The 21,096-nt window shown below is 40.6% G+C and overlaps 1 pseudogene across 1 annotated transcript in view; it reads right to left on the bottom strand.

The window, feature by feature from the left end:
* The window catches only part of LOC100130331 (POTE ankyrin domain family, member F pseudogene), a 66,147-nt pseudogene that overhangs the window by 3,440 nt on the left and 41,611 nt on the right, over positions 1 to 21,096 (bottom strand). Inside the window, exons 5-11 of the transcript NR_027247.2 lie at positions 20,760 to 20,908; positions 19,281 to 19,455; positions 18,772 to 18,945; positions 17,707 to 17,935; positions 8,486 to 8,649; positions 3,824 to 4,004; positions 3,566 to 3,637 (exon numbers count right to left, since the gene is read on the bottom strand). The product of NR_027247.2 is annotated as a POTE ankyrin domain family, member F pseudogene (transcript). The remainder of the gene's footprint in view (positions 1 to 3,565; positions 3,638 to 3,823; positions 4,005 to 8,485; positions 8,650 to 17,706; positions 17,936 to 18,771; positions 18,946 to 19,280; positions 19,456 to 20,759; positions 20,909 to 21,096) is intronic.

The following is a 21,096-nucleotide window of genomic DNA, read 5'->3' as shown; positions in this document are numbered from 1 at the left end:
TTAGCAAGACAGTAGGATATAACAACAAAAGAGAAAAATGTGTTGTATTTATGAATAATAGCATTAAAGGATCCAAAAAATAAAATTAAGAAAATAATTTTGTTTACAATAATATAGAAAGAATAAAATACATTAACAAAAGAAATGCAAGACTTATACACTGAAAACTACAAAATGTCAATGAAATATTTAAAGTAGACCTAAATAATGTAAAGACCTTCTATATTCATGGATTAAAAGTCTTAATGGTGTTAAGATGGCAATATGCTCCAAATTGATCCACAGATTTAATGCAATACTTTTCGAAATTTCAGGTTGCTTTTTTGCATAAATTGACAAGCTGGTCCTAAAATTTCTGTTAAAATGCAAGGAAGCTGTGATGGTTGATACTGAGTGTCAACTTGATTGGACTGAAGGATGCAAAGTATTGTTCCTGAGTGTGTCTGTGAGGGTGTTGCCAAAGGAGATTAACAATAGAGTCAGTGGACAGGGAGAGACAGACCCACCCTCAAACTGGGGGTGGGCACCATCTAATCAGCTGCCAGCACAGACAGGATAAAAGCAGGCAGAAGAAAGTGGAAGGACTGGACTTGCTGAGTCTTCTGGACTTCATCTTTCTCCCGTGCTGGGTGCTTCCTGCCCTCGAACATCAGACTCCAAGCTCTTCAGCTTTTGGACTCTTGGATTTACACCAGTGGTTTTCCAGGGGCTCATGGGCCTTTGGCCACAGACTGAAGGCTGCACTGTTGGCTTCCCTACTTTTGAGGTTTTGGGACTTGGTTGGGCTTCCTTGCTCCTCAGCTTGCAGACGGCCTATTGTGGGACTTCACTTTGTGACTGTGTGAGTCAATACTCCTTAATAAACTCCCCTTCATATATACATCTATACTATTCCTCTAGAGAACCCCAACTAATACAGAACCTTAATAGCCAGAAAATATTGAATAAGAAAAAAAAAAGTGTGAGGAATCACATCTTTTGATCTCGAATCTTACTACAAAGATACAGTAATCAAGACCTTACTGGTACTGGCATGAAGATAGACATATAGATCTATGGATTAAAATAGAAATGCCAGAAATAAATCCTCACATTTATGGTCAATTGATTTTTGACAAGGCTGCCAAGACAATTCAGGGGGAACAAGAACAGTTGTTTAAACAAATGATACTGGAATAACTAGATATCCCCATGAAAAAGAAAAAAGTTGGACTCCTATGTCACACCATATACAAAAATTAACTAAAAAATGTGTAGACCCAAATGTAAGAGCTAAAACTATAAAAACCCTTAGAAGAAAACATGGATACATCTTCATAACTGTGGATCAGCCAATGGTATCTTAGCTCTGACACTGAAAGCACAAGTACAAGCCATAATCAAGCAACAGAAAAAGAAGGTAAACTAAATATCATCAAAAGTTTTTAAACTTTTTAGCTTCAAATACCATCACCATCAAGAAAGTGAAAAGACAACCTACAGAATGGGAGAAAATATTTGCAAAACATATACCAGAAAAGTGAATTATATGTACAATACATCCAAAGATAAAAAAAACAAACCCACACACTTACAATTCGACCTTAAAAAAGTGGCACAATTTTAAAATGGACAAAAGACTGGAATAGTCATTTCTCCAAAGAAAACATACAAATGACAAATAGCATATGAAAAGATGCTTGATATCATTGGTCATTAGGGAAAGAAAAATTAAAGCCATGAGATACCACTTCACACCCATCAGGGTAGCTACAATAAAAAAGATAGACAATAACTAATGTTGATAAGGATGTAGAGAAATTGGAACCCTCATACTTTGATGGTGGGGGTGTCAAATGGTGCAGACACTTTAGAAAAGAGTTAGACAATACTCAAAATATTAACAGAGTTATCATATGACCCAGCAATTCCCTTCTGTAGTGTCTACTTTTGAGGTAAATGACATATTTGCCTCAAATATATCAATATATCAAATATATATATTTGCTTCAAATATTTCAGGATATATCTGAAATCAAAGGAATGATTATTATTTTGGCCATTTAATGTCACAGGTCATTTTTATATACATATATAAATCATACCTGGCAAAGTCCTTCTAAATTCTACCAGACAAATTCTCATTACAGCTTTAATATTAGCACAAGCTTTAGTTCTATTTGTTGTTATTTTGCCTATTTGGTACATCATAATATTTGAGGTCATCTTATATAATTAAGGTAGAATTATACCCATGTTGTAAGATTTGGCACTGCATTTTAGCATTTTTTTTTTCAGACAGGATCTCACTCTGTTGCCCAAGGCTGGAGTGTAGTGGTGCAATCACAGCTCATTGCAGCCTCAACCTCCTGGTCTCAAGCAATCCTCCCACCTCAACCTCCCAAGTAGGTGGAACTATAGGCACAGGCCACCACGCCTGGCTAATTTTTACAATTTTTTTGTAGAGATGGGTCTCACTACATTGTCCAGGCTGGTCTTGAACTCCTGGCTCAAGCAATCCTCCTGCCTTGGCTTTCCAAAGTGCTGGGATTACAGGTGTGAGCCACTGTGCTCAGTTTATTTTAACATTTTAAATAATCATAGGCTTATGGTTGTGCTATCTTTCCTTTAACCAGCATACAGGTCTCCTTCATTGAGGTTGAATCCATGGATAGGAAAGCAGCTTTAGGGCACACATTGAAGGAGGTCTCTGTACTCTGACCCAAACTGCCCTGCTGTCCCTCCCCTCCAGTCCAGTTGGAGCTCTGTTACTAGTTAAACATTATTTGCCGTTCCCTCAATAGGCAGAATACTCTCCATTCTGAGCAGTTCCCTCTGCAGATGATGTTTTTTTCTATTCTCTCTCTCTCTCTCTCTGTCTCTATCACTCTCTCTCTCTCTGTCTCTCTGTCTCCTTTTTTGGTCTATCTTCTTCCACTATTCAAGATCTTACCATACCTGACTTAAAAAAGAAAAAAAAAATCTAACCAAAGAAGTTTCCTTATTCTCCCCATTAAAATGCATTAGTATTTTCTCTGTGCTCCAACTGAATAAAAATGGTGGATCTAACATTACAAGGTTTACTATGTGACAAGCCAGCATCTTAAACCCTACAGAAATCACTTTATTTAATCCTTCCAATACCTCACAAAATGAATATTTTTATTAATCCCAATTTCACAAAGGAAAACAAGATGCAGAAATGTTAGAAAAACACATGTCATAAGAGGTAGAGCTGAGATTTAAACCCAGGCAGACTGACCTCAGAAGCAGCCTTGGACTTGATCCCACTCACCAGAATCTTACTTGTATTAAGTTTCCTAGTTTCTGGGCTTCCTCTTCTCATTTGATTGTGAATCCTTGAGCAGGAAGCAGCATCTTATACTTCCTTATAACTAGCCAGGCCCTGGCACAATGCCTGGGGCATCATGGTACTTAATTCATATTTGTGGAATTAAATTATAATAGTGTTCCTATGGGAAACTACAACCAACTTTAGGATAATGCTTCATGATATTTGTCCAGGAATATCTTGTGGCCAAAAGGCTAGACTAAAATGAATGTGATATTCACCACTCCTTATTACCTGGAATGAGCTTCCATATTATCCACACTTGCTCTTGCTCTTCATAATTCACTTGGAAAGAGGCTATAACTCCTGTCAAATCATTAGAAGAAAGGCTAAAATAATCACTGTAATAGTTAGAATCATGATTATCACAAAGAACAGATAGTACTGTGTTTTATACATACATAATTGCATACATATAACAAACCTGTGAAGTATGTACTGTTATATCCATGTTAAAGAGGAAGAAACTGAGACTCAAAGAGGTTAACTAACCTGTCCAGTCACAGAGTTGGTTAGAGGATCCAACACCAGCTGTCTGACTGCAGAACTCAGGCACATTAATGGCTTCCCATGCTGTCTGCCATTGGAACAGGACCTGGTGCCCTGTATTAGGACAGAGGTGAACAGCTCCCAAACGAGGCCCTCTCTCTTCTTCCTGCAACATCCTCAAGGTCTGCGAAGAGGTTCCAGAGAGCCCCTCAGTCCCAGCTGTCAACTTTTTCTCTAAACAACCATGATTTATTTGTAAACACAAACTAACATTTTGATTTCTTTTAGTTTATTTTTCTTTTCTATTGCTAGCCTGGACATTTCCAAAACATTGGTGGTAGCATACTGAAAAGATCAATTCCATTTCAAAGAACTGACTCACGGTTGCTTTCTGTTGGTATTGCTCACCCAGCATGCAGTCTCCCTGCTCATCTCAAGTGGGTTAATGGACTTGGAAGTCTGCATTTTAGGCTGAAGTGTATGCTTTAAATTGAAGAAGCAGCGTGTTGTGTTGTGCCGTGTTGAGGTGTGTTGTGCTGTGCCGGGATGTGCTGGGCTGTGCTCTGCTGTCTTATCTCATCTTGTCTGATGTTACTGACATAGTAGAATGCAGATTTCATTGTGGTGTAAAATGTCTTCTGGGTTATTTCAAAGCAGCCATTGAAAATTCCCTTTCTAACACTGTCAGAATTGGAAGCTGTTGATGTCAGTAAATGTCTTAGTGCTGTTTCTAGGCATACAAAATACCTCACATCTTTTTTCTTTCTTTTTTTAATATCACATTTCTTCTTTGTTGACACACTCAAATAGGTTGGACTTGTCCTAAATTATTAAGAAAATTGGAATGTGCCAATACTTCCCAAAAAAACCTGATTAATAAGGAGCCAGGCAACCTCTCAGTGATTCTCACTTTCTGGGATCTTCCCATCAGACTCGAAACAACAGGTTTTCATTAATATAAACAGAAAGGATTTTTACAAAGGAAAATATCTCCAAGATGTTTGTAAAAAATAATTGCAAGAATGAGCTCTTAGAGGGGAGATATTCAAATGAATTAAATTTTGTGGGCGGCAAGCCACCCAGGCGCCGAGGCAAGAGACCGAGGACACGAGCTGTTCCAGTATAATAAAATATAAAACAAGAATAGTTATACCAGATATAGATCTTAGATATGATCATATATGAATATCATTAATCATTAGTTGGTAGTAATTACTCTTTATCCCAATATTATAATAATCCTCACTCTACAATCATAACCTAGGAAAAGCCAGGCCATACAGAGATAGGAGCTGAGGGGACATAGTGAGGTGTGACCAGAAGACAAGAGTGCGAGCCTTCTGTTACACCCAGACAGGGCCACCAAAAGGGCTCCTTGGTCTAGCTGTGACGCCAGTGTCTGGGAAGACGCCCATTGCCAGGTGGACCGTGGTCTAGCGGTAGCGAAAAGTGTCAAGGAACAACACCCGCTACTTAGCAGACCGGGAAAGGGAGTCTCCTTTTCCCCGGGGGAGTTTAGAGAAGACTCTGCTCCTCCATCTCTCGTGGAGGGCCTGACATCAGTCAGGCTTGCCTGCAGTTATCCGGAGGCCTAACCGTCTCCCTGTGATGCTGTGCTTCAGTGGTCACACTCCTAGTCCGCCTTCGTGTTCCATCCTGTACACCTGGCTCTGCCTTCTAGATAGCAGTAGTAAATTAGTGAAAGTACTAATAGTCTCTGATATGCAGAAATAATGGCGTAAGCTGTCTTTCTCTCTGTCTCCTCTCCCTCTCTGCCTTGGCTGGCAGGCAGGGAAGGGCCCCCTGTCCAGTGGACACATGACCCACGTGACCTTACCTATCATTGGAGATGACTCACACTCTTTACCCTGCCCCTTCTGCTTTGTATCCAATAAATAACAGCGCAGCCAGACATTCGGGGCCACTACCGGTCTCCACGCATTGGTGGTAGTGGTCCCCCGGGCCCAGCTGCCGTTTCTTTTATCTCTTTGTCTTGTGTCTTTATTTCTATACTCTCTCGTCGCGGCACACGGGGAGAGACCCATCGACCTTGTGGGGCTGGTCCCTACATCGCTGAAGTGGGAATTGGGGTGGAGGTTGAATGGATTGAACTGGGAAGGCTCCCGTCTGGCTGGACGCCAGGGGCTGAGAGTTGAGGAATGCCCCATTGTTTAAAGGGGCCTGGGGCCGGCCCCTCATCCCGTTTCCCTGATTTTTAAAAGGCTGTAAAGGATTGCCATCAATATCAAATCTGGAATGGCATTGAGATGCCCAGTGAAAGCCCTTTTGGCATCGTGGGCATACAGTAGAAGGTGGGGCGTCTTGTTGCTGAAAAGTTTTTTGTTGTTGTTGTTGGTGATGTAAAGGACTGCGACCTGCACGCCGAGGGCAATTTCTTTTTGCAAGTCCCTTCTGGCCGCATAGGAAGCATTGGCCAGAGAATTGTCCAGGCATTAGAATAGAGGCCATAGCTTGTGCCATAATCATTGCTGTATGCAGAGTTCCTCCCACCCCTTCACAGGCTTTAACGTAGGAGGTGAGTATATCACCACCAAGTGGAATTTTGCCTTTGACGGGGCGAATAGCCGCCTGACAATCTGGATTTGCTTGTTCATAAACCATAAGTTCTACAACAAGTCTTTGGCCGTGGCTATCAGGAATAGCCTTTTCTGCTGCGTCTGGAAGACGAGCAATGAAGTCTGGGTAGGGTTCGTGTTGTCCCTGTCTGACAGCTGTGAAAGATGGGCATACTTTACCATCATCTTGAATTTTGTCCCAAGCATCTAAGCAACATTTTTGCAGTTGTTCAACAACCTCATCATTTAGTATAGTTTGGTGTCGGATTGCAGCCCATTGACCCATTCCCAGTAACTGGTCAGCTGTAACGTTAACAGGAGGATTGGAGCCCTGATTAAGATGAATGCGTTCCTGGACAGCATCAACCCACCAAGTCCTGAACTGTAAATATTGGGATTTAGATAAGACTGATTTTGCTAAAATTTCCCAATCATAGGGCACCAAACGTTTATCTTCTGCTAAGCCTTTTAATGTGGAACGGACAAAAGGAGAGTTGGTGCCATATTGTTTCACTGATTCCTTAAAATCTTTGAGGAATTTAAAAGAAAAACTTTCCCAAGTAGCAGGGCGTAGCTGAACCTGACCTGGATGTATGGGGTCAGGCTGAACTACCGCCTGAACAGCGGGAATGCCAGGTATTGGCTGTGCCCCAGGAGCCGGCAATTGCGGAGGCTGATTATTTCCCTGAGCAGCCTGAGTTTCGGGCTGAGGGGCTTGATTATCAGCCTCTTGATCCTGTTGAGCTGCGGGGTCAGCCGCCTGCTGGGCAGGATCAACAACAGGCTGTGGGTGATTTTGTACTGTTGGGGTGGCAGGTACTGGAGGTTGTAAAATTACAGGAAATTGCCAGGCTTCGGGATCCCCATATTCCCTTGCCTGAACTATAGCCCTCATAAGCGGAGTGTCGTCTTCAGGGATGTATGTAATTTGTTGCTTATGAGCAGCAATGGTAGTATTGGCAACAGCAGTCGCGACTGGACCAGGAGCAGAAAAAGGGGTAGAATTTTGAATAGAAGGAGAGTTGAAAAACTGAAAGCCAGGTTGAGACCAGATTACCTGCTGAGCAGGTCTTTCATGGGCCTGAAAACCAGGCTGCCACGGCAAGTGCAGACCAGGCTTCAAGGGAGCCTGTAACTCTAGCCAAGTCTGAGTAGGAGGAAAGGATCCAGGCTTCAAAGGAGCCTGTGACTCTATCCGAGTCTGATTTGTAGGAAGTGGACCAGGCTTCCAGGGAGCCTGTGACTCTGAGTCCGATTTGCAGGAAAGGAGCCAGGCTTCCAGGTAGTCTGTGACTCTAACTGAGTCCGATTAGGAGAAATAGGATTGAGGGCCTCATTACCTGGCCGAGAATTGGAAGCCTCTTTTCTGGGCTGTTCAGATAGCGGAGCCTCTGTATCGGGCTACATAGAAACATAATTTATAGACTCGTTTTCAGGCTGCCTGATCGCGTCTGCTATTTGCACGGCGGCAGCGTTGAAAGAGTGAGGAGAGACAGGAGGGTCTGGCTGCAATGGCTGTTGATATGTTTCAACTGAGTTTTGCTGGTTGGGGAAATAAGTGTATTTAGGTCAGTTAAAAGATCATCATAAAGCGACAACGGGGGTGTGGTAGCCTCTGGCGTAGGTGGCGGTGGCGCAGGCATGTCAGAGTGGAAGTCCTCCTGTGAAATTATGTTCTCAATTTGTGCAGTATCCTCAGGTTAAAAAGAACTGAGAACTTCCTCGACCTCCTCAGAGGAGAGGAAAGAGGGATCAGTCTCCATGTTGTCCTCCTGAGTCTGTAAGGAGTCTAAGACAAAGCGAACTGAAGCCCAGATTGACCAAATGGTGGGTGGGATAAAATGTCCCCCCTTATGAGCAATTTTGAATTGTTGGCCAATCTCAACCCAACCTTTAAGTTCTAAAGTTCCCTCAGTCGGAAACCAAGGGCAAAGAAGATCTACAACCTCAAATACTTCAATTAACTTTTCAGTAGAAACTTTAACACCTCCTTCTTTAAGAAGAGTTTTTATAAAATTTAAATAAGCTGAGTACTTTGTACTGGCCTGTCCCATGGTGTCCCCAGAATACTCTGAGCGCTGTAGCTTACCACCAAGTTTATTGACCGCAATCCTCAGGAATATCTCGTTGAACTCCTCTGCTGATCCCACACTCAGGGTGCAACTTCACACAGCGAGGGAGAGCCCCACGTCAGATCGCCAGATGTAGGGACCAGCCCCACAGGGTCAGTGGATCTCTCCCTGTGTGCCGCGACTAGAGAGTGTAGAAATAAAGACACAAGACAAAGAGATAAAAGAAAAGGCAGCTGGGCCCGGGGGACCACTACCACCAATGCGTGGAGACCGGTAGTGGCCCCGAATGTCTGGCTGCACTGTTATTTATCAGATACAAAGCAAAAGGGGCAGGGTAAAGAGTGTGAGTCATCTCCAATGATAGGTAAGGTCACGTGAGTCACGTGTCCACTGGACAGGGGGCCCTTCCCTGCCTGCCAGCCGAGGCAGAGAGGGAGAGGAGACAGAGAGAAAGACAGCTTACGCCATTATTTCTGCATATCAGAGACTATTAGTACTTTCACTAATTTACTACTGCTATCTAGAAGGCAGAGCCAGGTGTACAGGATGGAACACGAAGGCGGACTAGGAGTGTGACCACTGAAGCACAGCATCACAGGGAGATGGTTAGGCCTCCGGATAACTGCAGGCAAGCCTGACTGATGTCAGGCCCTCCACGAGAGATGGAGGAGCAGAGTCTTCTCTAAACTCCCCCGGGGAAAAGGAGACTCCCTTTCCCGGTCTGCTAAGTAGCGGGTGTTGTTCCTTGACACTTTTCGCTACCGCTAGACCACAGTCTGCCTGGCAACGGGTGTCTTCCCAGACGCTGGCGTCACCGCTAGACCAAGGAGCCCTTCTGGTGGCCCTGTCTGGGCATAACAGAAGGCTCGCACTCTTGTCTTCTGGTCACACCTCACTATGTCCCCTCAGCTCCTATCTCTGTATGGCCTGGCTTTTCCTAGGTTATGATTGTAGAGTGAGGATTATTATAATATTGGGATAAAGAGTAATTACTGCCAACTAATGATTAATGATATTCATATATGATCATATCTAAGATCTATATCTGGTATAACTATTCTTGTTTTATATTTTATTATACTGGAACAGCTCGTGTCCTTGGTCTCTTGCCTCGGTGCCTGGGTGGCTTGCCGCCTGCAGAATTTGTAACTTAAAGCCTCTGACCTTTCCACTGATTTGTTTAATAATTACCCTGGTATTTTTGCTTCTTAATTAAATGGAAAAAAATTCTAAGTCTTTTCCAGTCAATATTAACTAATGTTTATATAAATTTGAAAATCATGTTTAAGCAATTAATAACAAAAATGATTCTTAAACTACGGAGTGTTTAGGAAAAAATGAGCCCATCAGGGTAACTTATCCTTTGTTGCCAGCTTCTGTTTCTTTTAGGATTTTGCACATGAGCATTGTGTACATTTTTGGCCCAGTTTCCATTTCTTTGGTAACCAGAATCCAGGTGATGGAGGATTGTGTGTTTGTTAAATAAGGTTCAAGGTCCTTAAGAAGGGCTTTCTCAAGCCTCTGAGAGTATGCCTGAGAATCTACATCATTGATAAGGAAACAAGAGCAACACCAAGGAAATTGTAGTTCTGATTTATATCTTGTGCCTTTGCATTTTCAGTGCTCTATCTTTCTTTCTATTCCAAATATTTTACAGAATGCTCTCTGCCTAAAAGCCAATGAAACAAATAAACAGGCAAATGTGGAAACAAACAGAAGCCTGGTAATGAGAAAGAGCTGCTACTCCATTTATTTTTAGACCTGTGATTTTGGGTAAGGGTTAGCTGCCTCCAGGGTTGTATCAAAGCAAGATGGTTGAAGTAGGTGATTGGGTCCACCTCACTTAAAGCCCCCTGGCTCCTACCGTGAAGGTATGGAACCACTTTCCTCCATGCCTACCTCTACTAACACCCATTGGGCCTGGATGGCAACTGATAAAGCCCTGTAAAGGCTAACTAAGCAAAGGTATTTGGGCTAAGATTTTAACAGGTTTTACATTCACATTTGGAAGTTAGCCTTTAGCACTGGAACCCAAAGAAATCAATAATGTAAGACACCAAAGATGGAATTTTTTCCCCAGCAAATTAATAATAAAAACTAAAATGTCCCTATTTCTTCAAAGCCTTTTGAAACTGTCCTCACAGAGTTAACAAGAATTCTGGACAGAAATATAGTTATAATTAAGCATTCATCAGGCTGCACTTCCTTGTAACCAGAAGTCACATAACACTAGATACCGACCATTTGTGTCCCCATTGTTCCTAAACATAAGATTTCTGATGGTATAACCATAAGGATTTTATTTAAGAATTGCTTAAGCAGATTCTGAATTCCAGCAGAACAGCTGATGCCAACCAGTTTAAAGAGCCCCAAAGAGGAATCAAATTAGGATAAGAATACAGTGTCTTCATCCTGCACTCTTGGACCAATCAGTGATCTCCACACCTCAGCCCACTCCAAAACCCTTAAAAACCCTAGCCCTAAACTACTCAGAAAGATAGATTTGAAGTTTCCTCCCATTTCCTCACTTGGTGGCCCTGCAATTAAACTTCTTTCTCTGCTGCAACCTGGTGCCTCACTATAATTACTTGCCATATATTTGGGCAAAAAACCTATTACATCTACAAAATAAAATAATTGAGGTGTTCAGTAGTAATAATACTAGTTGCAGTCCCATTTTTGCAGAGGAAGATACTAAGGCTTTTTCAGGAAAGGCATTTTCTCAAGGTGCCATGAGATTAATACATTTTCAATTCAGGCCCAACTCAATGACATCAAATTGATTCCACCCTACCACCATCACCAACAAGGTCATGCTGTGTATGCGGTGGCCGTTAGATGTCACTGTATCTGTGGCAGCCTATACTGTATAAAATGCCCATAGCTTTCAAAGGCTTGGCAGTCTTGTAGAGCCAGCTCATAATGAGACTAGGTCCCCTGATCTGAAATTGCTGGATCTCCCTCCTCATCAGCTTCCTCCTTCCATATACTGTGTTCAGACCCTCCCCAAGGTGTAACCCAGCAGGAAGAGCAATGTCTCTGTTACTTAACTGACATTCCTTAAATCCCCTACTCTGTATATTTTTCAGTTAATTTCACAAAAGATGGATTGTAAGGTTTTAAAATAATTTGTTATAAACTTCTTGTATGTAATTTATAACATTTTTTACATCACAGTATAAAATGTATTATGTCAAATAAGATAATTATTTACTGTTTCTCCAAACCAGTGGGGAAAATGGCAGAGCAAGGGTCAAAGACCTGTGGTTTCTCTGCTTCTGGCCCATCTCTACCAATGGTCCTGCACAGCCCCATCAGGGAAATTATTTGTAACTTCTTTCAGCAAGTCCACATAAAATAGCTGAAAGACAAAGAGGACATAATATTTGACATATAGGGAGGTTTGGAGACATCATTGTGAAAGCTATATCTAGGAACCCCTTTATTCCTGCTTTTCCCCTTCCCAAATTTCCTCAAAGTCTCCTGTAACTGACAAATCAAAGTTGTAGGCCCACATCAATGTAGGGATGCTAAAACTAGAACTCCCAAATTAAGATGGATTCAATGAAAGGAACAGAAATCATCCCAAGTTAATAGCATCCCAGGAGATACAATAGCAAAACCTCTCTGGAGAAGAACATCCCCAATTTAAGCTCTCATTATTCCCACAGATGAGGATCAACTAAATAAGAACTCAAAATCAAGGATCACCAAATCCACAAGGAAACAAATATGATAATGAAAACCAAGTGATAATAAATTTAGAACCCTTAGAACTACAGTTCACAAAATTATTGATTACAGAATAGAAAATGACAACCTTTTGCTTACAGACAGGAAAAAATAAAATAATTAAAATAAACTAAAATGAGAAAAAAATCAGCAAGCAACAATAGGCTATCCAAAATGACTAGGCAGATATTTTCAAAACTGAATGAAACTAATATAAATAAAAAACATAATCTTTGAAGTTAAAAACTCAGTTGAAAGTAAGTTATCCACAGCCAAAGAAGGAATTGGGAATTAGTGAGTGCGAAGACTGATCTGAAATAATTACTTAAATTGAAGATCAGAGAGGCAGGAGATACAAAATATGAAAGAGATTAAAATATATCTTAAAAAAACAAAATGTGATAACTCCTATATAATAAAGAACCTGACTGGTCTTTGTCCCCAGTTCCTGGGAGAATGTCCCTAAATATTTGCAATTTCCTGAGTGATAGGGGTATCTTTGTTATTTATGATAAGCCCTGGTAGTTTATACCAACAAGATGATTCATACTGAGTCTCTAGATAGTTTATGCTAATGGGATGACTCAGGGTAGAGGTGGCCATACCAGAAAGACCAACTATGGCTTTTAGCCATGTGATATCTACCCAACATCCAGGAAGAAGAGGAGGGATGAAGATGGATTTCAATCCCATGGCCAAGGATTCAATCAATCATTCCTATATTATGAAATTCCAATAAAAACTCTGGATACTAAAGTTCAGTTGAACTTCACTGGCTAATAGTACTCTATGCTCATTCTTTACAATTATGTGCTAGAAAAATGATGCATTCTGACTCCATGGGAAGAGGACACAGAAGTTTCACATTTAGGATTCTTATTTTATGCCTCTTCTTTTGGCTGGCTCTGACTGGTATCCTTTTTTGCTATAATAAAAGTATAATTCATAGTATAGTGTACCATGGCAAAATAAAGCACTTTCCTGAGTTCCATAATTTATTCTACTGAATTATTAAACCTGAAAGGGAAGTAGAACCTCCAAATTTGTATCGAGTTGGTCAGAAGTGCAGGAGGCTTCAAGACTGCTGAGCATGTAGCTGGTGTCTAAAGTGAGGGGAGTTCTGTGGAGGACTGTGCCTGTAACCTATGAAGTCTGGCCTAATTTAGGGTAGTTTGTGCCAGAAGTCATTACGATAACATACTTTCAGTCAGAGTCAAAGAAGGAAAAACCTGTGTGTTGGCCTGATCCATTTATGTTTTAGACAGAATGCTCTAGAAAGATACAGAGGATGCATGAGGGAGCCTGTTACATGTTATGGATGGCCACGGAGATACAAAATCAAGCTATATTAGCCCAGGTGGAAAGACTGACTGTAAAAGATATTCAATAAATTAATTGAATTCAGAAATTCAGCTCTAAGGTCAGTCAGTCCTCTGGAAAGCATGCAATATCAATGAGGGGTCTACAAATTACTTTTTGTTCTAAAAGTATCCTTAGAAATGATCCATCTAAGAGCCTCAGCCTCTGTGTGGGCTTTGGCTTCTTCCGGCTCTCTGGCTCTGCCTCACCCATGGCTTATCCTGTGTCTTCCTCCTCCTCTCTATCTCATGGCTGTTGCTTCTTTGTTGCTTCTCTTGACTCATGGATGGTTTCTGCCATTTCCCGTTTCTGTCTGAGTGTGCCTTTGTGAAGGGTTTGCATTCACATTCCAGACATGACAAGGCATGATGTACTGGTCACCACACCTGGAGGGCATCTCTATTGGGAACAGTCCTCACAGCAGGACTTCTCACAGGCTGATGGTCTCCCTGAAGCCCCACCTATAAGATACTGACTGCCCCTGTGCCCAGAACTGACCCTCTATCCAATTCATTATCCCAAACACTGCTGGTTCACATGGCATTGACAAGTATACCAAGAACCTCTTTTGGCTACTCTGCACAGAATTCAGCTAGAGGTAGAACAAGTGGAACAAATAGTTTGGATTCCTCTCAGTGACTTGTATGCATGTAACTCTTGTCTGTTCTTATAAAACATCTATTGATTATTCTAGTTTCTTAAAGGCAAAATATGTGTTCATCTTTTGTCTTCTTAACCCCCCTAGTGTAGTGACTGAAATTTAGGAGATTTAGTATATCCTCAGTAACTGCTCAATATACTCAATAAACCTTAATGACCATTTGCAGCTAAACCCATATTTTGACTTGGTCCTGCATGTTTGAAAATATATCACAGTGTAATTTATTTTTAGCATCCTTCTAAAGCCATTGTCTTATTTGATATAGACCAAATTGCAAAGACACACACTTATTCCTCCCCAGTAAAAAGAGTTTCAGTGGCTTGATTAATACAAGTTAATCTATACATATTGCTGACAGCTTCTAATAAAAGCCCCTTTTTAAAAACATGTCAAAAAGTTGGAGAAAATGTTGACTCTCGGACTCAGCAAACTAAAAATCTTTATAAAATTTTATTTTATTGGTCAAAAAGTAATTCTGTGTTGGCATGAGTTTGGACAAATTAACAAAAGATTGTTCAACCCCCAATTTAACTTCAGGGCATTTGCATTAAGACATATGGGAAATAATAGCTATAAATTTAAAAATATATAAATATTCTACATGAATGACAAATTGTTAAATGGGAAGGAAAAAAACCATTCTGATATAATTCGTGCTTCATTTAATTCAGAGTTCAAGAAAAATTAAACTTTCTGAGATACATTATTCTTATTCAATGAACATCTCAACTTTAACTTTTCCTTCAAACACTGGTATTTACATTTAATTACTTACCCTTTTAAAAGACAGGCATGGTTTTAATAAAAAACTCAAAACGAGTTATATTTTGTTCATTAACATCAATTGCTCGTATTCTTAACTTCACATATGCCACTGTAAAGTTAATTCCAATTCAATGGTTTCAGAAAAGAGTTTTTGGTGTTGACAGTAACTGCTAATCATGTTTAAACATAAAAATAAAATATTTGCAGGCATTTTTAGACTATTATAACATTACATAATGGAAATAACTTTTCAAATCTAATTTTTGAGCTTTGTCATCATAAAATTAATTAAACTTGAAGGGAATTCTAGCTTTTTTGTATTAGACATGTATATTGCTCATGAAAATATATAATTACAGGCCAAGAAAATGTTGGGAGCAATAAAACACTAATGGTGACCATGTCAGGAAGTTTTTGAAATGAAGAATGTTACATTGCCACTATTCTAATCATCCAACCATCCAACACTGCACTGTGTGTTCAACTCACCCTTTAGCTGGGTGCTCGTGTAAACACTAGCAGAATTCACTTAGAAACCAGTACTGCCCAATTTCCTTTACTCTCAGTAGATGAATGACCTCACCTCATACATCACAAGAACAGATAAATCATTAGGAGGCCTCAACTTCCCAACACCAAACCTACATACCTTTGGAGCTGAAACATGTCTGTTTCTTGCTGTTACTGTGGAAAAAATGTCCCTTTTCTTATCCTGGGTCAGTTCCTCAACTTATGTTGAGACCCATTTTCGCACACTTATGCAGAATTCTTACACTATCAAATAACTCTTCTTTTCCTGTATTTTTCTTCTCTCCCTACTTATTGACTTCACTCTATAACCAGTTACTGTTCTAGCTACCCTCCTTTAGTCAAAACTTTCAAAATCACAGTGTTTTCTTGGCTTGCCATCTTCATTTTCTCACCTCCCAAAACTCAGTCCTCTTCAAGCTGACTTACATCTTTTTCACTACCAAAACAACCCTATAGAGGTTGTCAGTGACCCCAGTGACAGTAAATCTAATGGAAATTTTTGGGTCTTTATCTTACTTAACCTAGTTTTAAGATACACAAACAGAATGTCTTCATATACATATACATAGTGAGCTGATTACTCTAATCAAACTAATGAACATATCCATCACCTCACATAGTTTTATAACTATGTGAGGTGAAAACACTTAAGATCTATTCTCTTAGCAAACCTCAAGTACACAATACAGTATTATTAGCTATAGTCTCCGTGGTATACATTCGATCTCTAGAAATTTTTCATTCTACATAACTGAAACTTTGTACCCTTTGACCAACATCTACCCATTTGCCTCACCACCAGGCCCTGCCCCTGCTAATCTCCATTCTACTCGACTTAACCTTTGAAGTGACTCTCTCTACCTTCCTTCAACTCTTGGTACTGACGGTATCACACAACATTGGTTTTATCTGTCCACTTCCCAACTTCCCTGGCATCCTTCTCTGTATAGTCTTTTAAATAGGTAGCTCCTCAGAAATTAAACATATCCCCTCCCTTTATTTTCACTCTATACTCTTGGTTTAGGCAAGCTCCTGGCTTCAAACACCAGCCAGCTGTCAATAAGTTCCAATATAAATATGTAGCCCAGACCTTTTAAGTTCCTGTACCAATACATCCAATTGCCTATACAACATGAAGCTCTGAGGGGACATTAAATTCAGGATGTCCCCAAACTTAGGATCTGACTCTCCAAACCTGGCCTTCCTCCAGTCATCCATAGCTCAGTAATTGGCATAACACCAGTAGGTTGTACATACCAGAAAACTACAAGCCAGTCCTGATACCACCTCATCTTCACCAGCCCATTTAACCCATCATCAAGTCCTGCCATTTACTTCTTACCTAACTCCCACATCATTCTTTCTCTGTCTCTACCACCAACATCCTGGAACAAATTACCTTCATCTCTTAATGGACTACTCCTAAAGCTTTCTAACTGACCTCACCTATATCCAGTATTGACCTTCAATCCATTCTTCACACCACAGTCACAGCAAGCTTTTCAAAATGTCAATCTTGAAAATGTAAATCTTGTTTATTGTTTATTTCAAAATGTATATCTTATTTTATTCTCTACCTTAACATATTGTAATGGAGTTCCATTGCTCTCATGATGACGAGCAAATTATTTCACATGGTCTACAAGCCTCTGTGACTGGCCTATGCCTGCCTGTCTTGTAGTACTCCCCTCTCCTTTCTCTCCACCCTGGCAACACCATCCTTGTTTTTAAGTTATTCTCTGCCAGGTTCATTTTACTCTGTTTTTCCTTCATTGCAGTTATCACAATACTTTCATATCTATTTCCTGAATATTTGATTTTGTCTCCACTGAAAAGACTGTTTCAAAAATCAGGACTAGAAACAAGAATATTTTATCCCAAAGCATCTTGTTCACACATAGTAGGTGTTCTACAATCACCTACTGGATGAAAATCTGCATTACAGATACTAAGATTTGTAACTCATCAGTTAAAACCATGGGAGTGGAGGGGCTAACCTAGAATGAGAAGAGAAGTGGGTCAAAGAAAGAACCCCAGAGAGAGCTGACATTACAACTACCCAAGAAAGAAGGTGCAGGCTAGGTATTCATTTCATCTGAATATGAAATGTCTCATACATAAGCTTTTATCCTTTCCTTCCTGAGGATAGACTCACTTCACAACCTAATGTTAAATACGCAACCACTTTACCTGTTTTCACTGACAAGCAATTGCCACTGAGTTTTTCTCCTTAGGTTCCTCAAGACATGGTTTCTTCAGTGATTGGCAGCACAGGTGTGTCATACACATCTCTGCCAGCTGCAAAGTTTCGCTGTTTGAGAGGCTGGTAGGACTGCAGGTTAAGGGCCCATTTGGATAAAGTAGGCTGTGACGAGCCTCCTTCTGCCTTTGGAAAATCACACTTCAGTCATCTACCTCCCTTCAGGGAAGCACAGTGTAAGTATCCCAATAAGAAGGAACAAGAAAATACAACAGAATGAGGAAATCTAGAAGAAACAGAACCTCATAAAAGGGGTACAAGATAAATGATAGGATATCTACTTAAATTTGAATCTCAGATAAATAACAAATAATTTTTAGTACAAATATATCCATGCAATATTATATTTACACTAAAAAAGTGTATTAAAAATGTATAGTTAAATGAGAATGCTAGGTATTTATTTGCTAAATTTGGTAACCCCAACTGACACCCACACGTTCATCCATTCATTCACTTAGTAAATATATTTTGAGGGCAACTATGGGTCAGTTACTGTTCTAGCTGCTGGGAGTCAGCAGTGAACAAGACAGAAATTCTTCGTGGAGCTTTTAGTTCATAATAAAAACCAAACCTAGGTGCCTGTGGAATCTGAAAGGCTGCACTGCCTGAGGGGTGGGCCCAACCCGCCACTCTGCACAAAGTCTTCCCCCATCAAAAGATATGCAGTTGGCCCATGAATATTTGCAGTCCACTTATTAAAGCACTATTTTCTTAAGGGGATAGTCACTCCAAAATATTAACAGTGATCATCGTTGAGTTTGTGAATTTGAATGCTCTTACTCTTCCTACTTCTCTGCATTCTCTACATTTTCTAAATGAGTACATATTACTTGTAAAAATAGTATAAATTTTTCCCTTAACTCGAGTTGCCAGTAAAACTTTTTTATTCTTTATTATTTTAAATACTTTTTATTATTTATCAATGAATGGGTCAAGGCCTAATCTGCATCGTTAGCAGGAAGTCTATTATGTACTTCTTAGATGCCTCTTACCTCTGAATTGTCCAGGTACTTTTTAGAAGTCCAAAAGTAGAAGAGGGTTGGGAGGGCAGACATATCCTCACCCCAGCAATGCCAGAGCTAGAATCTGCTCACTGCCTCCTGAAGTCTCTATTCCTGTTGAAGGCATGCCTGTACGTACTCCATCAGCAGGATCTGAGTTTCCACCTGAACAGAAACCTGCTGAGGCCTGTCTATAGAATGGTCCACCCAGTCCTTTAATGTTAAAATAATCTAATGTGCCGCTAAGTATGCATACATCAGGGCTCAGATCTTTCCACTGCTATACACAGCTACCACCCAGGGACCAGTTGGCTTTCACATGCCTACTTATGGCTGCTTCTGCTGTATCCACCCACCTCCTTGGTCCAGAACAAGCCAATCTCCTCCCCAACCAGAAATCCATACTTTAGAGGTCCAGCAGCCTTCCCTTTTAAATACACAAAAGATCTGATTATACTCCTTTTCTCTATACAATAAGTAGAGTTATTTTTCAGCCTCACCCATCTAAAAGAAGCTACATCAACGATGCTAGGAGCTCTTATTCTTCCCCAGGAACCCTGTCAGCGACTCCGGGGAGACCAATATCCATCCTTGAAGATGGGCAGTTCTCTTCCAAAATTCTAAGGCATATTTCTGGCTCTTCTTTCAGTGGAAGCAACAGGACAAATGTAATCTCTAGAAGGATATTACATTGCATTTACATTAAAATATAAAATAAATCACATTGCACCCACATCTCACCATTCAGCAATGGACTTGATATGGATTTCTTAAGCTCTTATGTCAGGCAAAGCTTTCTTCTCCTTACCTTTATCTTACTAGGTAATTCATAACGGTAGAGCCACCCATTTGGGCTAATTTTTAAAATTAAAAAATAAAGCTGAATGGACCAGGGTAATGCATCCTGACCCATAAATTTAACCTTTTTTTTTTTTTAGATGGAGTCTCGCTGTGTTACCCAGGCTGGAGTGCAGTGCCGCAATCTCGGCTCACTGCAACCTCCGCCTCCCGGGTTCAAGCGATTCTTCTGCCTCAGCCTCCTGAGTAGCTGGGACCACAGGGCACACGCCACCACGCCCGGCTAATTTTTGTATTTTTATTTTTGTATTATTATTATTATTATTTTGAGACAGATATTATTTTTTTGAGACGGAGTATCGCTCTGTCGCCCAGGCTGGAGTGCAGTGGCACGATCTCGACTCACTGCAACCTCCGCCTCCCGGGTTCACGCCATTCTCCCGCCTCAGCCTCCCGAGTAGCTTGGACTACAGGTGCCCGCCACCACGCCCAGCTAATTTTTTTGTATTTTTAGTAGAGACGGGGTTTCACCGTGTTAACCAGGATGGTCTCGATCTCCTGACCTCGTGATCCCCCCGCCTCGGCCTCCCAAAGTGCTGGTATTACAGGCGTGAGCCACCGCACCCGGCTCCTAATTTTTGTATTTTTAGTAGAGACGGGGGTTTCACCATCTTGGCCAGGCTGGTCTCAAACTCCTGACCTTGTGATCCGCCCACCCCAGCCTCCCAAAGTGCTGGGATTATAGGCGTGAGCCACCGCCCCCAGCTATTTGTTTTTTTTTTTTAAATAATAGTTTAATAATATTTTATTTCATTGCTATTGATATGGTCTCATGCCTCAGTAATTCATAACTACCCATATATGATTTTTTAAAAATAGAAATTGCCTTAAACAGACGTTTTATCATGCGAAAAAAACAGAGGAAGATTTTTCAATTTATCTCAGGCTACTAGCTAACATTTTGATCAGATTGAGGCAAAACGATAATTAAACAAGTCAAGCCCAAATCATGTAAGGCTTGTGTCATAGGATTTTAGTGCGGTAAGGGGACTTTAAACATGAGCAACAAGGATGCTTTTATTATACAACTGACAAAACTGAGACCCAGAGGCAAGTCCACAGAATTACACAACCAGCTTGGCATCCATTCAGCAACACATTAGTTGACAATTCTTATGTACCAGTCCTGGAGTGGGAAGTCCAAGGATGAGTAAATTGTTCATGGAGGAGTCCACTGTCTTCATCAAAGTTGGAAATAGGACTTAGGTCTCCTCAATCCTGGGCAAAAGTCTCTCCTTCCCAGGAAGGCAGGCTATTGGAATGGTCCCTCCTGTATTTGGCACATTGGAATAAAATGCCATTTAATGGCTGGTTTCATTAGTAAATACTTACCCACCCCACATCCTGAGAGTTTCACTAACCATCAAGGAGTCATCTGCAACAAGTAGACTAATCAACTTGGAAGACAAAGTAGATTTGAGAAATTAATTATTTCCAAAGTCATACAAATAACATTCA

This window comes from Homo sapiens, chromosome 1 (genome assembly GCF_000001405.40).
Source record: "Homo sapiens chromosome 1, GRCh38.p14 Primary Assembly".
NCBI lineage: Eukaryota > Metazoa > Chordata > Mammalia > Primates > Hominidae > Homo > Homo sapiens.
The sequence above is the reverse complement of the archived record's forward strand: the minus strand, read 5'-3'. Positions and strand labels throughout refer to the sequence as shown.